The sequence below is a fragment of the Homo sapiens genome, chromosome 19, assembly GCF_000001405.40.
Source record: "Homo sapiens chromosome 19, GRCh38.p14 Primary Assembly".
NCBI lineage: Eukaryota > Metazoa > Chordata > Mammalia > Primates > Hominidae > Homo > Homo sapiens.
Genome location: NC_000019.10, coordinates 51,770,810 through 51,786,806, shown reverse-complemented (window position 1 = coordinate 51,786,806; position 15,997 = coordinate 51,770,810). Strand labels below are relative to the sequence as shown.

Below are 15,997 nucleotides of genomic sequence, written 5' to 3'. Positions count from 1 at the left end.
GTGAAAATTACATGACAGTGACTCTCTCCAGGAGATCAGGACCTAGAACTTCCCAGAGCAAGGACCCAGCTGGTGGAATATAAAATCCAGATGAAGAACATATCTCTGGGGATGGGGAGCTTGTTAAGGGCATACTTAATAGACGCTTTGGAGTACAATAGACTCTTTGGAGTGAGTAGAAGAATGTGAAGTTGAAGAATAATTTCTTTTCTTTTCTTTTTTACTTTAAGTTCTGGGGTACACGTGCAGAATGTGCAGGTTTGTTTCATAGGTATACATGTGCCATGGTGGTTTGCTGCACCCATCAACCTGTCATCTGCATTAGGTATTTCTCCTAATGCTATCCCTCCCCTAGCCCCCCAGCCCCCGACAGACCCCAGTGTGTGATATTCCCCATCCCTGTGTCCATGTGTTCTCATTGTTCAACTCCCACTTAGGAGTGAGAACATGTAAGAGATTCTAGGCAGGGCGCGGTGGCTCACACCTGTAGTCCCAGCACTTTAGGAGGCCGAGGCGGGTGGATCACGAGGTCAGGAGATCGAGACCATCCTGGCTAACACGGTGAAACCTGTCTCTACTAAAAATACAAAAAATTAGCCGGGCGTGGTGGTGGGCGCCTGTAGTCCCAGCTACTCGGGAGGCTGAAGCAGGAGAATGGCGTGAACCCGGCAGGGCGGAGCTTGCAGTGAGCCGAGGTTGTGCCACAGCACTCCAGCCTGGGCGACAGGAGCGAAACTCCGTCTCGAAAAAAAATAAATAAATAAAAACAAACAAAAAACCCTCAATCTAAGTTTTACCTCCTTTATAAAAACTAATCCAAAATGGATTACAGATTTAAATATTAAATGCAAAACTACTAACTTTTTAGAAGAAAACATAGAAGAAATAGTGAAGACTTAAGGCTAAGCAGGGAGTTCATAGACACGACACCAAAAGCACAATCCATAGAAGAAAAAAGTATAAATTGGACTTAATTAAAATGGAAAATATTTACTCTTTTGAAAGTTGCTATTCGGCTTCAGAGTCAATATAAAAATTTTAAAAACATAGCAAATCATGACATTCCCCTGCTCTTCATTCTCCAGTGGTTTCCAAATTTCTAACTCATGCTTACCAAGCTCTACCAGAACTGGCGCAGACATCATTCGGTGGAAATCTACTCCCCTTTCACAGAATAGCAGGTGAATGCAGAGGCTGTTTCAATAGATGAAGAGACAGAGAGTGAGAAATGCAAAGGCACTCAGATCAGTGATTGTAAAGATTGAGGGAAAAGGGTAATTTTGTGATTGACAGAAGGCAGCAATGAAGGTTATCAAGAGAATAAGTACAGTTTCATGGACTAGAATGGAGAGTGACTGAGAGGCTACTTTATCTTAGAGGCTCAGAAAACAATATCTTGAGGAGGTGACATGTGAGCTGAAATCAGAATTACATGAACTGCTAATGTGAAGTGTAACCACCCAATGGGTTCACCTTGCCGGCTGCCTAGACAGAGTCAATTTATCAAGGCGGGGAAATTGCAACAGAGAAAGAGTAAGTCACGCAGAGCCAGCTATGCAGGAGACTGGAGTTTCATTATTACTCAAATCAGCCTCCCCAACCATTCAGAGAGCAGAGTTTTGAAGAAGAACTTGGTGGGTGGGGGGAAGCCGGGGAGCCAAGAGTGTTGATTGGTTGGGTCAGAGATGAAATCACAGGGAATTGAAACTGTCTTCTTGCAGTGAGTCAGTTCCTGGGTGGAGGCCACAAGATCAGATGAGCCAGTTTATCCATCTGGGTGGTGCCAGCTGATCCATCAAGTGTAGAGTCTGCAAAATATCTCAAACACTGATCTTAGGAGCAGTTTAGGGAGGGTCAGAATCTTGTAGCCTCCAGCTGCATGACTCCTAAACCATAATTTCTAATCTTGTGGCTAATGTTAGTTCTACAAGGCAATCTAGTCCCCAGGGAAGAAGGAGGTCTGCTTTGGGAAAGGGCTGTTATCATCTTTGTTTTAAACTACAAACTAAGTTTTTCCCAAAGTCAGTTCAGCCTACACCCAGAAATGAACAAGGACAGCTCGGAGGTTAGAAGCAAGATGGAGTTGATTAAATTAGAGCTCTTTCACTGTCTCGGTCATAGTTTTGCAAAGGTGGTTTCAGAAGTTCAAGAGAAGAAATATTCCAGGCAGAGGAGTGGTTAGTACAAAGACTGTGAGACAAGAGTAAGCTTGGTGTGTTTGAGAAATAAAAATACTACTAGTGTAGTTACATCATAATAAGTGAGAAGAAACATGACGTGAGAGAATACGCAAGAACCAGATAATATGAGGCTTTCCTAGAGAAAGGCTTTAAATGTTTGTTTTATTAGTGCAATAGACAGCTATTATAGGGTGTTAATCAGGGGAGGAGCATGATGATGCTTACACTATGAAAAAGGTTTGTAAAGATGGATTGCTACAAAGCAAGAGTGGAAGCAGAAAGAAGAATTAGGAGACTATTACAGTCATCCAGATGGAGGTGGATTGGAGTCACGTGATAGCAGTGCATAGAAAAGAAACACACAGATTTGATCGATGTTTCTGACATAGAGTCAATGTGATTTGGTGATGGATGACAGTAAAAGAATCAGGAATAACTCATATTTGGTACTTAAGATATTAGGTAGAGGGTGGTGACTTTTTCTAAAATTGGAAATGATGTGGAAAACATGGCAATCAGTTTCTTGGGAAGAATCAGATTGATAGTTCTGTTTTGGTCATGCCACATAAAATACTTCAGTTAGATTTTCAAGTGGAAATGCAGAGGAGGGAGGTAGATACCAGTCAGGACTTCTTCTGAGAAGAGGTTGTGGATTATGATGGAGATTTGGGAGGGGTCATCAATGGACAGGTGGGATTTCAAGTTATAGGGACAAATTACCTAGGATGACTACATTGACACAAATAGGTGAGGGGGTCTAGAATTGGGCCCTTGGGTACACCAATATTTAAAAGTCAGAAAAGGGCCAATCAAGGAAATTGAGAAAGAGAAGTCACTGAGGTGGGAGGGAAACCAAACACGAGTGATGTCACCAGGAACATTATCTATTCAAAGATGAAAGGACTGGTCAACTGAGTCATATATGCTTAGGGGCATAAGATTCCACTGTTACCTGAGAGATGGTAGATTTCCCCCCATTGGATTCTTAGCCAAGCACCAAATGTCTGAACCTGCAGTGCGGTAACATGGCAACAGATGTCACTGTTATCCATAATAAGAGTAGTCCTGGTGCAGTAATCAGGAAAGGAACCCATATAGAATGGGTTGTTGTGAAAATGTGAAATGAGGAAGTAGAGAACTGAAGTGGTAGTGGCCCTTGTATTTGCTGTCAAGGAGAACAGAGATTGGTTGTAACGTTCAGAAGGAGGTTTGTGCTACAGAGTTTTTTTTTTTCAGTTAGATTAGAGAACATATTTTATATACATATATATACATATATATACACATATATGCATATATACACACATATATACACATATATACATATATACACATATATATACATATATACACATATATATACATATATATATGCTGATGGCAATAACAAAAAATTTAATGATACAGTAGAGAGAGAGAGAGAAAAAGAGAGACCACCTCCATCTCTTCCTCTCAATACCTACTCATTTATATTAGTTAATGTTTTATCATTCCTCTGTTTTTTCTCAGAATATGTGATTTTTAATAGAAAGTACAGAAGCGATAAAAGTAATATGACAGTTTTTAAATAGAGCAAAATATAAAGCCTTATTTCAATGAGAAATTAAGTAGATATTATTGGCGTTTCAAAACACAGTTCATAATTACAGAGTTTCCATAGATAAATAAAAATAATTAGTGTAAGTACCTGGGATGTCAGATGATAAAGAATCAAATGAGGAATTTTAAAGCAATAATAATTATGTTCGGTTTTTTACAGAGCAGTAGACCTTTTTTCCCACCTCTCTGGGGGGAAAGCACTGAAAACATATATCAGTCAGGGTTCTACCAGGTAAATAGAACTTATATATATATATGAGATTTATTGGTTTATGAGACTTTGGAAGCTGGCTCAGTAAGTCTGAAATCCATAGGGCAGACCATCAGGAAGGGAAGGCTGGAAACTCCCAGGCTGTAGTTGATGCTTCAGTCCACAGAGAGTTTCTTCTTCTTCATGGAAACCTTGGTTCTGCTCTTAAAATTTCTCAATTTTTTGTTTCAGGCTCATTCATATTATAAAGTTTAGTCTGCTTTACTTAAAGTCAGTTGGTAGTAAATGTTCATCATATCTGAAAAGAAATTCACTGCAACATCTATAATAATTTTTGATGAGGAGGACACTATAGCCTAGCCGCATTGACACACAAAGCTAACCCTCACAGTCCATTCTTGTCATCCAGTCACCCATACACGTTTCCTTAAATCATGTTTATTTTCCAAAGAAAGGTAAGAACAAAGTCCTCCTTCCTCCTAACATGATACACCTATCTTCCTTATAGCCAAAAATGCACTGACTCTTTCTCCAGAAGAGGATGCAGAGTCCTTGGGTGATGTTTCTTCTTCTCCTCCTTCTCCTTCGTCTTCCTCTTCCCCTTCCCCTCCTCCTCCTCCTATACTTCTCCTCCTCCTCCTCTTCCTCTTCCTCTTCTTCTTTTTCTTTGTCCAGGCTGCAGTGCAGTGGTGCAATGTCACCTCACTGCAACCTCCGCATCCTGAGTTCAAGGGATTCTCCTGCCTCAGCATCCCAAGTAGCTGGGATTATAGGTGCACAGCACCACACCAGGCTACTTTTTATGTTTTTAGTGGAGACGGGGTTTTATCACATTGGCCAGGCTGTTCTCAAACTACTGACCTCAAGTGACCTACCCGCCTTGGCCTCCCAAAGTGCTGGGATTATAGGCGTGAGCCACCACACCCAGCCTTCTCTCTTCTTTTTGATCTCCTCTAATATAAACACCATGATTTAAAATTACCTATTATTAATACATTTTATGTTATGTGATAATGAGACAAAAGAGGAAAGAAAACAAAAATTTTTGAAACACACAAATTTGTTCATGACAAAATAAGAAATATTCATTAAAATGATAGTCTTCACTTCTGTAACTGATTCTGCGATCATGGTAGTATTTATAACTACCATCTTTCACTCCTCAATCCATTTTCCATTTTCCCTCAACTAGTACCTCAGTTGGTCATCATCTGTGCCTAGTGGGGAAACCCAAACCTTCATTCCTGAAAGATCTGGGGCATTACAGTCCTGCTTGATAGAGCTGTGGTTTTACATGGACTTTAATAACAAAACAAGGTGGTACTCAGAGCTGCCCTAATGGGTCTGTCATATTCCAGACATGTTCTTCATTATCTCTATATAATATAGTAGCATACCAATTTCCTTCTTAGTAGCCAGGATCAGTCACCCCATCCATACAGTAACTCCCTTCTTTGCCTGCTGATTCAGAGCAAGAGGAGCCCAAAGTAGTGATGGGCAGTGGTACCTTCCAGTTCAGTAGAAACATTGTTGTGTCGCTGGGTGGATACATTTCTTCCTTTGGAACCAAGACCTCTGAGCCAACACAGCATAAGGTCATGAGGATGGGAAGCAGAAATTTTTCTAGTGGATCACTAAAGGTAATAATGAGTGATACAATTCCCATTTCTACCCCTTCATTCCTGGATCCTTGGATTCTAGTTATGGGAGAGAGAGCACCATACACTGAGTGCTGATTTAGAGTATGTATAGCTTCCTAAAGGATATTGCTCCAGCCCTGCAAGGTATTGCCTGCTAGCTGGTACTTGGGTAAGTCTTCAAAAGGTCATCCTACCATTCCTTCAAGCCGGCTACTCAAAATGGACAATATGGTAGGACCAGTGAATTCCAGAGTGTGGACCCATTGCCACAGTTTATTTGCTGTGAATTTAATCCCACAATCAAACCAATGCTGTATGGAATGCCATGATGATGGACAAGGCATTCTGTAAGTCCACAGATGATAGTTTTGGCAGAAGCATTATGTACAGAGAAAGCACATTCATGTTCAGAGTTAACATCTATCCCGATAAAAACGAGGCTCTGCTTCTCCCACAAGGGAAGTGGTCCAGTGTGTTCAACCTGCCACTGGGGAGCTGGGTGATTACCCAGGGAATGGTGCCATATCAGGGACTCAGTGTCCATCTCTGCTGTGGGCAGATTGGGCACTCAGCAGTGAGTGTAGCCAGATTGGCCTTGGCAAGTCAAAGTCCATGTTGCTGATCCCAGGAACAGCTTCTGTTCCTGCCACTGAAACTGTAGAAGCAGGAAACATGTTAGAATGATCAAGGATAGAAACTAGATTTCTCTGAATGTATCTACTTCCTCTTATGGTTTTTTGACTGTAACAAGAACGGGATAGGAGGTGCCAACTGGGAAGAAATTGTACTTGATGTACAACAGCATAACCTATATAAATTTTTAAAATCTTGCCCTTTCTTAAAACTGGGCTTGAAATTACATTCCTATTCCCATAGTCTAGATACCCATCGTGACTGGTAAAATGTTTACCGTGATTTGACTATCTAGAATGATCTCTAGAGACAGTGGCAGACTATATTTTCCACTGATATCTATGTTACATATTTATCTCATCCCACATGTTGTCTGTACAGGTAATTCACACTCCTCCCACTCCTTCCACAGAGAAGTGAGGATTTTTTCCCCCTCCTCTTCAATCTGGACCAGGACTTGTGACTGCCCTGACCAATGGAGTATGGCAGAAGTAATGCTATATCCCTTCCAAGTGTAGTTCATAAAAAGAATGAAACTTCCATTTAACGCTTTCCCCCTCAGATCACTCATCCTGGGAGATACCATCAGCCACGTTATGAGACTACTCCAGCAGTTCTGTGGTGAGGAAGCAACTTTCCAGCAACAACTCATTATCTATGGGATTATGTCACCTGGAAGTGAATTTTCTAGCCTCAGTCAAGCCTTCAGATAATTGCAGCCTCAGCTCACATCTGACTACAAACTCATGAGAGATTTCAATCCAGAAACACTCAAGCCAGAAACTTCCAAATTCCTGACCCAGAGAAATTGTAACAGATAGTAAATTAGATTACTATTGTTTTAAGCCATGTTTTGAGGGTGATTTGCCTGCAGCAATAGATAACTAACACAGGGACAACCTGGTATAATATTAGCTCAAGTGTGACTTAGAATAGGTGAAACATTATGAATTGCCAGGAGTTTTATCAACCAGCAAGCCTCCCAACTCTGTGTGGGTCTCACAAAATCTCCATCATTAGTAGTTAATTCTTTGACTCTATCTTCCAAACTTTATGCCTAGATTGCCATTTCAACTGGAAGAGAACACACTGGGCAAGAGGAACCATTGAGCACCTACTTCCCTACAAATTGGGACAGGAAGTTAGTGTTAGGACCTGAGGGAGGGAGAGTAAGGGACATAGTTTTTGGAGGCGATATTGGCTCTTTTTGTATCAGAGGTTGTCCTTCCTCTTTCACTGTGTTTCTCAGTAACTGTTATGTGCTTTGTGTGTACATACAAAAATCAGATCCAGATTTAGTTGGTTTGCTATTTGTGGTAAGAATTGAGGTGTAAAGGGCATGGGGGACTTTTTTCTGATAAATTATTAATTCTGTTCACTGTTGCTGAGAACCTCTTCTTTCAGAAGAACAAAGTATTGACAGCTTAGCTTGTCCACACCTGTGATTTCACGATCACAGCCTCACTCTCCAAATTTGCTTTCCTAACTAGGACTTCTCCCCATGTTTCCCTCCCAATGGCTGTGTTACCACCGCATATAAAAAAGACCATTTGTTCTATGGTGTGGACCATAAAGATATATCCGTGTTTCCAAGAGGTAATATTAGTTCTAATTCTCATGGTCTAATATTAGTTCTTATTATGTCCTCTAGTTAAAAGAGTATTTATTCAACTGCTAGAAAGCAGGGGAATCATTGCTGGGCGCAGTGGCTCACACAGAAATAAGCCCCGTGTGGTGGCATGTTCCTGTGGTCCCACCTACTCGGGAGACAGAGGTGGGATGATCGCTTGAGCTGGTGAGGTTGAGGCTTCAGTGAGCTATGATTGCACCACTGCACTCCAGCCTTGACCATAGAGCAAGACCCTGACTCAAAAACAAAACAAAACAAAAAAAGAAAACAGGGGAATCTGATTGCACATTACAATTTACCAGGGAATACCTAAAGGGAACAAAGTTAATCTGTGATTAAACACAGATTATTGTGCTCTGCTCCAAACTTTATAAATCAAGATGCTTTGATGTTGCAGTGACCTAACCCATATTAAAACAAACAAACAAACAAACAAACACCTCCCCAATTGACTCTGATGAAACAGCATCAGTGTAGGTCAACATTCGGGACGCAGTTAACTAGATGGTGTTTGGAGCCGCAGGAGGCATGAGATGGAAAGATAGAATGGAATCACAGTTGAACAGTCGCCAGCATCCTAAGCATTTACATGGACTTTCTTTCGTCTAATGGCACTGGTAACTCATAGAATGGGATGAGATACAGGAGAGATCTCTAGCCTCCACCGTCTCTGGAATGTACATTTTGGAATGAAGGGGACTTTCTGCATTGAAAGAACAAAGTTACTTGTACAGATGTGCTTAGAAATGTATTCTGGGCGAGCTAGCCCACAAATAATCAAGCTTTCCAAGGGTTATCTCCCAATGCGGTCACAGAACTGAGTGAAGCAAGAGTTGCATTTCCTTGTGTTTTCTTTTAGCTGCCACAAGAGGGAGCTCGATGTCTAATGAGTTCGTTTTCACGAGCCCAGGAGACCCGAGCCAGTCATGCCGGGGATGGCTTCCTCCTGCTGCCTTTGACCCTCCCTGTCCTAGCAAGTATGAATTTAGAGAATTGCAGCACCTATATGAAAGGTGTCCTGCTTCAAGCAGCCTAATTTCAGGAGCTATGAAGCTTTACTGGTATAAAGAAAAGGGGACCCGAATTCGATTGACTTATTTTTCGTTTTTTCCTCTTTTATTTGAAACAAGGTCTCGCTGTGTCACCCAGGCTGGAGTGCAGTGCCACAATCATAGCTCACTGCCGCCTTCGCCTCCCGGGCTCAAGCTATCCTCCCACCTCAGCCCCAGTCCTTCAGCTGGATCTACAGGCACGCACCACCAAGCCCAGGTAATTTTTGTATTTTCAGTAGAGACGAGGTCTCACTATGTTTCCCAGGCTGGTCTCGAACTCCTGGGCCCAAGCAATTCGCCCACCTCGGCCTCCCAAAGTGGTGGGGTTACAGGCATGAGCCGCTACATCCAGCTGACTTATTTCTCTTAGCTTTTAAAATGTGGACTATAACAACCACCCCACACACAAACACACACAATGAGAAAAAGATAAACGTGAAGATTAATATATTTGTGTAAAACAAAATGCTCATGTACTCCCACTCATGTCAAGAAATAGATCACTATTTGTTTTTCAGAAAAGTTGTCTTCCTAAGATGTGGCAATGGGCTTTATAGCTCTGATAGTAGATAAGAGCAGAGAAATCAACTAAATTACAAACGATCTTTTTTAGTATTACTTTTTTTAATTTTTAATTTTTGTCGGTACATAGTACATAGTAGTTGTATATATTTATGGGGTACATGAGATACTTTGATATCAGGCATGCAATGTGTAATAATCACATCATAGAAAATAGAGTATCCATTCCCTCAAATATTCGTCCTTTGGATTATAAAGAATCCAGTTATACTCTTTTAGTTTTTAAAAAATATATAATTAACTTATCATTGACTATATTCACTCTATTGTGCCTTTGAATACTAGGTTTCATTCATTCTTTCTGTTCTTTTTGTACGCATTAACCATCCCCACTTCTCCCCCGACTCCTGCCACCCTTCCCAATTTCTGGTAACCATCCTTCTATTCTCTATCTCCATGAGTTCAATTGTTTTGATTTTTAGCTCCCACAAATAAGTGAGAACATACAAAGTTTGTCTTTCTGTGCCTGATCCATTTCACTTAACATAATGACCTCCAGTTCCATCCATGTTGTTGCAAATGACAGAGTCTCATTATTTTTCATGGCAGAATAGTACTCCATTATGTATATGAACAATTTTTTTTTGTTCATTCATCTGTTGATAGACACTTAGGTTACAAACTATTGTAATTTTTTTCTATAGACAAACACACAGTCATGCAAAGGAATGTGTGTGTGCACAGGTATTCATTGTAGCTTTTTTTTTGTAATGAGCAAAAGATCAAAAGCAATTTGGTCAGATTAAATTTTGTTACATTCATCCAATAAAATACAATGCAAAAATTAAAAAGAATGAGGAACTTTGAGAATACAGACACAGAAGGAGGACTTTCTAACTCATGATAAATCCACGATCACCCTAATAACCAAATCCATTTAAAGACATTACAAGAAAACAAAACTACAGACCAATAACTCTCATGAACATAGATGCAAAAATTCTCAAAAACATATTAGGAAATCAAACCCAAAAATGTCTAAACTACTATAATGTAATGTATAAAACAAAGTATAAAAATTATTCATGCCAGGTATGCAAGTCTAGTTCAAATTTCAAAAATTAATTAATGTAATCAATTACATCAACAGACTAATGAAAAAACCACATAGTTATATCAGTAGAAGCAGAAAAAGTATTTGACAAAATTCAACACTCATTCATAATTTTTAAAAATGCTCAGTAACCTGGGAATAAAGAGGAACTTCCTCAATCTGATAAACAATGCCTACAAAAAATCCTACAGCTAACATTATACTTAACAGTGGGAAACTTGACGCTTTCCCAGTAAGGCCAGGAACAAGGCAAGGACGTCTTCTCTCATATTGGTTTTCAGCATTGCTGAAGTCTTAGCTAATTCAATTAAAAACAAACTAAAAAGGTATGCATATTGGAAAGGAAGAAAAAAAAACTATTTTGTTCACAACTGACATGATCATCTATGCAGAAAATCCAAAAGATTGGATAACAAACATTCCTGGAAGTAATAAGTGATTATAGCAGGGTTGCAGAGTACAAAAAAATCAATCACTTTCCTAGATACCAACAGTGAGCAAATGGAATTTGAAATTAAAAACACAATACTATTTACATTATGTCCCTCAGAAATGAAACACTGAGTAAAAATCTAACAAAATATGTACAAGATCTATATGAGAAAAACTACAACACTCTGATGAAAGAAATTATAGAAGAACTGAAGAAATTGAGAGATAGTCCATGTACAGGGCTAGGAAGATTCAAGATTGTCAAGATGTCAGTTTTCCTCAATTTGATCTTTGGATTCAGTACAATCCCAATAAAAATTCCAGCAATTTATTCTGTGGATATAACAAACTGATTCTAAAGTTTACATGGACAGGGAAAAGACCCAGTATAGCCAACATAATATTGAACAAGAAGAGCAAAGTTGGAGGACTGACACCATCTGATTTCAAGACATACTGTAAAGCTACAGTAACCAAGACAGTGTACTACAGGCAAAAGAACAGACAAATAGATCAATGGAACTGAATAAGAGAGCCCAGAAATAGACTCACATTAATATTGTCAAGTGATCTTTATCAAAGGAGCAAAGGCAATTCAATGGAGAAAAGATAGTCTTTTCAACAAATGGTTCTGGAATGACTAGACATCCATGTGCAAAAAAGTAACTTTAGAAACAGACCTTACATGCTTTGCTAAAATTAACTTAAAATGGATCGCAGACCTAAATGTAAAAGACAAAACTATAAAACACCTAGAAGATAACATAGGAGAAAATCTAGATGACGTTTGGTTTGACAATGACTTTGTAATTACAAAACAAAAGATATAATCCGTGAAAGAAAGAATCAAGAAGGCAATTCTTATTAAAATTGAAAATTTCTGGCTGGGCATGGTGGCTCACACCTGTAATCCCAGCACTTTGGGAGGCTGAGGTGGGAGGATCACTTGAGCCCAGGAATTTGAGACCAGCCTAGGCAACAAAGTGAGACCCCCATTTCTACAGAAAATAAATGATTAGCTGGGCATAGTGGTGCATACCTGCAGTCCTAGCTACTTGGGAGGATGAAGTGGGGGGATCACTTGAGTCCGTGAGGTTGAGGCTGCTGTGAGCTGTGATGGTGCCACTGCACTCCAGTGTGGGTGACAGAGTGAGACTCTGTCTCAAAAAAAAAAAAATCTAAAAAAAAAAAAAATCTGCTCTATGGGAGAGTGTTGCAGGAGACATATCAGATAAAGGACTGTTATCCAAAATATTCAAAGAACTCCTAAAACTCAACAATAAGGACACAGAAAGCCCATTTTAAAAATGGGCCAAGCCCTTAACAGGCACCTCAAGAAAGAAGATATACAGATGCCAGGTTAACATATGAGAGGGTGATACACATCATATATCATCAGGGAAATGCAAGTTAAAACAGTGAGATACCACCCTACACCTATTAGAAATGGCCAAAATCCAGAACACTGACACAACCAAATGCTGGCAAAGACATGGAACATCCTCATTCATTATTGGTGGGAATGCAAAATGATACAGCCACCTTGGAAGAGAGTTTGGCAGTTTCCCATGCAACTAAACATATGCTTACCATACAATCCAGCAATCATGTTCTTTGGTATTTATCCAAACAAGTTATAAACTTCTGTCCACACAAAAACCTGCACATGGATGTTTATAGCAGCTTTATTTATAATTGTCCAATTGGGAAGCAACCAAGATGTTTTTCAGTAGGTGAATGGATAAATAAATGATGGTACATCCAGACAGTGGACATTATTCAATGCTAAAAAGTAATGAGCTATCAGTCTATGAAAAGACATGGAGGAAACTTTAAATGCATCCTACTAAATGACAGATGCCAATCGTAAAAGGCTACATACTTCATGATTTCTACTATATGACATCCTGGAACAGGAAAAAACTATAAAGACAATGAAAATATCAGTGGTTTCCAGGGGATAGGGAGGAGGTAGGGGTGAATAGGCAGGGCATAGAAAATTTTTAGGGCAATGAAACGAGTCTGTATGATACTGTAATGGTGAATACAAGTCATTATACTTTTGTCCAAACCCACTGTATTAGTCTGTTTTCTTTTTTCTTTTTTTTTTGAGATGGAGTCTCCCACTGTCGCCCAGGCTGGAGTGCAGTGGCGCGATCTCGGCTCACTGCAAGCTCCGCCTCCCGGGTTCGCGCCATTTTCCTGCCTCAGCCTCCCGAGTAGCTGGGACTACAGGTGCCCGCCACCACGCCCGGCTCATTTTTTGTATTTTTAGTAGAGACGGGGTTTCACCGTGTTAGCCAGGATGGTCTCGATCTCCTGACTTTGTGATCCGCCCATCTCGGCCCCCCAAAGTGCTGGGATTACAGGCATGAGCCACCGTACCTGGACAGTCTGTTTTCATACTGCTGTAAAGAACTGCCTGAGACTGGGTAATTTATAAAGGAAAGAGGTTTAATTGACTCAGAGTTCAGCATGGCTGGGGAAGCCACGGGAAACTTTTACAATCATGGCAGAAGGGGAAGGGGAAACAAGCCACCTTCTTCACAAGACAGCAGGAAGGAGAAGTGCCCAGTGAAGGGGGAAGAGCCGCTTATGAAACCATCAAGATCTCATGAGAACTCACTCACTACCACAAGACCATCATGGAACTGCCCCCGTGATTCAATTACCGCCACCTGGTGTCTCCCTTGACACGTGGGGATTATGGGGATTACAATTCAAGGTGAGATCTGGGTGGGGACACAAAGCCTAACCATATCACCCGCTGAAAGTAAAACACCAAGAATGAACCCTAATGTAAACTGTGGGCTTTGGATTAATGATGTATCTGCGTAGGTCTATCAACTGTAAGAAATATATTACTGTGGTCGGGGATGTTGATAATGAGAGGGGTTGTGCATGTGTAGGGGCAGTGGGTTTATGGGAAATCTCTGTATTTTCTTCCCAATTTGCTATGAATCTAAAATTGCCCTAAAAAATAAACTCTAGGCCACGTACAGTGGCTCATGCCTATAATCCCAGCACTTTAGGAGGGTAAGGCAGGAGCATTGCTTGAGCTCAGGAGTTCAAGACCAGCCTGGGCAACTTGGTGAAACCCTGTCTTTACAAAAAATACAAAAATTAGCTGGGCATGATGGCACAAGCCTGCAGTCTCAGCTACTCAAGAGGCTGAGGTGGGAGAACCACCTAAGCCTGGGAAGTCAAGGCTGCAATGAGCCGTGATTAGTGCCACTGCACTCCAGCCTGGGTGACAGAGTGAAAACCTGTCTCAATCAATCAATCAATCAATCAATAAACACTATGTTAATAAAATAATGAGGCAGCCCCTTATGTACTAATGTGATACTATTTTTGTATCTTACTGCCTAGAATTTACCCACACCTAGCTGGAAGGATGACTGAGAAAAGGATTATTTTAGCTGAATGAATTGCTGCCCACATTTGTTAATAAAGTAGGGGGAAGAATATTGGGTAGGCAGCTGGCAGTCTCCAGGGGAGCTTACGCCTTTGGGTACTCAACAGTCTCTACACTCTTCTCCCCAAACAGAAAAAGTGGTCCTGTTCTTCCCATGGACACTATCCCCAGAGTTTTATTTTGGACTTCCAGATTCGAGCAAGTCTAGAAATGTTTATTGGTGGTGAATGTCCCATAAACACCAAGAATCCTCAGCTTCTGAAGACCCCAGTACACAAGGGTGCAATTGGAACTGAGAATCCACAATGGCAACTTCCAATGAAGAAAAGAAAAATGGGGAGGATGCAGCAGGCACTGTTCCAGTGCAATTAACCAAGGCCAGTGGGAAGGAAAGTAAGACTCCTCTGTCCTGGCAGTGGAGGAAGGCTGTTAACTAGCCAGTCTAGAAGCCGTGGTTCTCCTGTTTCAAGGTCATATGCTGTTCTTGGCTCCAGGTTTCTCCTTCTTGCGTTTTCTCTTTGTTCCTTATTTTCTATGGCCACAACTTAGTCGGGCATTAAAGGGTATACTTTTCTTAGGAACTGGAAAGCATTTATAGGAGTCAAGAATGCAAATGAACTAAGTAAACTTCTCTGTTTTGGAAATGTTGGAAATGTAAATAACTTTAGGGGAAACAGGAGGGAAAGGGAGAAGCGGTGGAGTGAGTGAGGACGCTGATAACAGGACTGCCTCATATTCGTGTAGAGTTCTGTCTTTTGCCAGTGCATCCGGAAAGTATGTTCCGCACCGAAGGACCATTTCTGAGTGGTCATTTCCTGTAAGCAAAGTAAAGGGCTGAGTACCTTTGTGGGTTGATTTATTTCAAAACAAAGGCGTGAGGCAACAGTTAGCCATGGTACTTTCCTTAAAGCAGAAGCTCAAAACCAGAAATTGATGAAAAAGTAAGCCACATGAGTATTTCTAAATATTGTGTGCTTGAGGATGGGTGTTTACTGGACATGGTCTGGTTCATGTAATAAGGGTTGGAGATAATTTTGATTTGACATTAAAACTTCTCACTTGACACCTAGGTGATACTATTGTTTATTGATTCATTTATTCAATGAGTATTTAATGAATGTCTATTACATATCAGACAGTATTTTACACATAGAGGATGGGGTTCAATCAGCAAACCATACAGACCAAAATCCCTGACTTCAGAGAGCTTACATTTTCGTTGTTTAAAAGAAACTGTATCTCCAAAGGCTGTGCTCTAGGATAATAACAACAAGAAGAACAAAAATCAGAAATTAATAAATACATAAAAGAAAGCATTTCAAGTTTCATACTTTTTTTTTTTCAGACAAAGTCTCACTCTTGTCCCCTAGGCTGGAGTGCAATGGCACAGTCTTGGCTCACTGCAACCTCCACCTCCCGGGTTCAAGCAATTCTCCTGCCTCAGCCTCCTAAGTAGCTGGGATTACAGGTGTGCACCACCATGCCCAGCTAATTTTTGTATTTTAAGTAGAGATGGGGTTTTACCATGTTGGCCAGGCTGGTCTCAAACTCCTGACCTCAGGTGAT

The 15,997-nt window shown here is 40.6% G+C and overlaps 1 long non-coding RNA gene across 1 annotated transcript, besides 1 other annotated feature; it reads left to right on the top strand.

The window, feature by feature from the left end:
- Positions 1–3,197: 3,197 nt before the first annotated feature.
- LOC105372448 (uncharacterized) lies at positions 3,198–7,108 on the top strand. The gene is made up of 3 exons (XR_936049.2): positions 3,198–3,387; positions 5,461–5,630; positions 6,826–7,108. It is a non-coding gene; the product is annotated as an uncharacterized LOC105372448 (long non-coding RNA).
- Positions 8,697–8,991: a silencer, noted in NCBI's record as "tiled region #3543; K562 Repressive DNase unmatched - State 5:Enh". NCBI's record gives its function as "represses a minimal TATA promoter and a strong SV40 promoter by Sharpr-MPRA in K562 cells {active_cell/tissue: K562}" and the evidence as "EXISTENCE:reporter gene assay evidence [ECO:0000049][PMID:27701403]".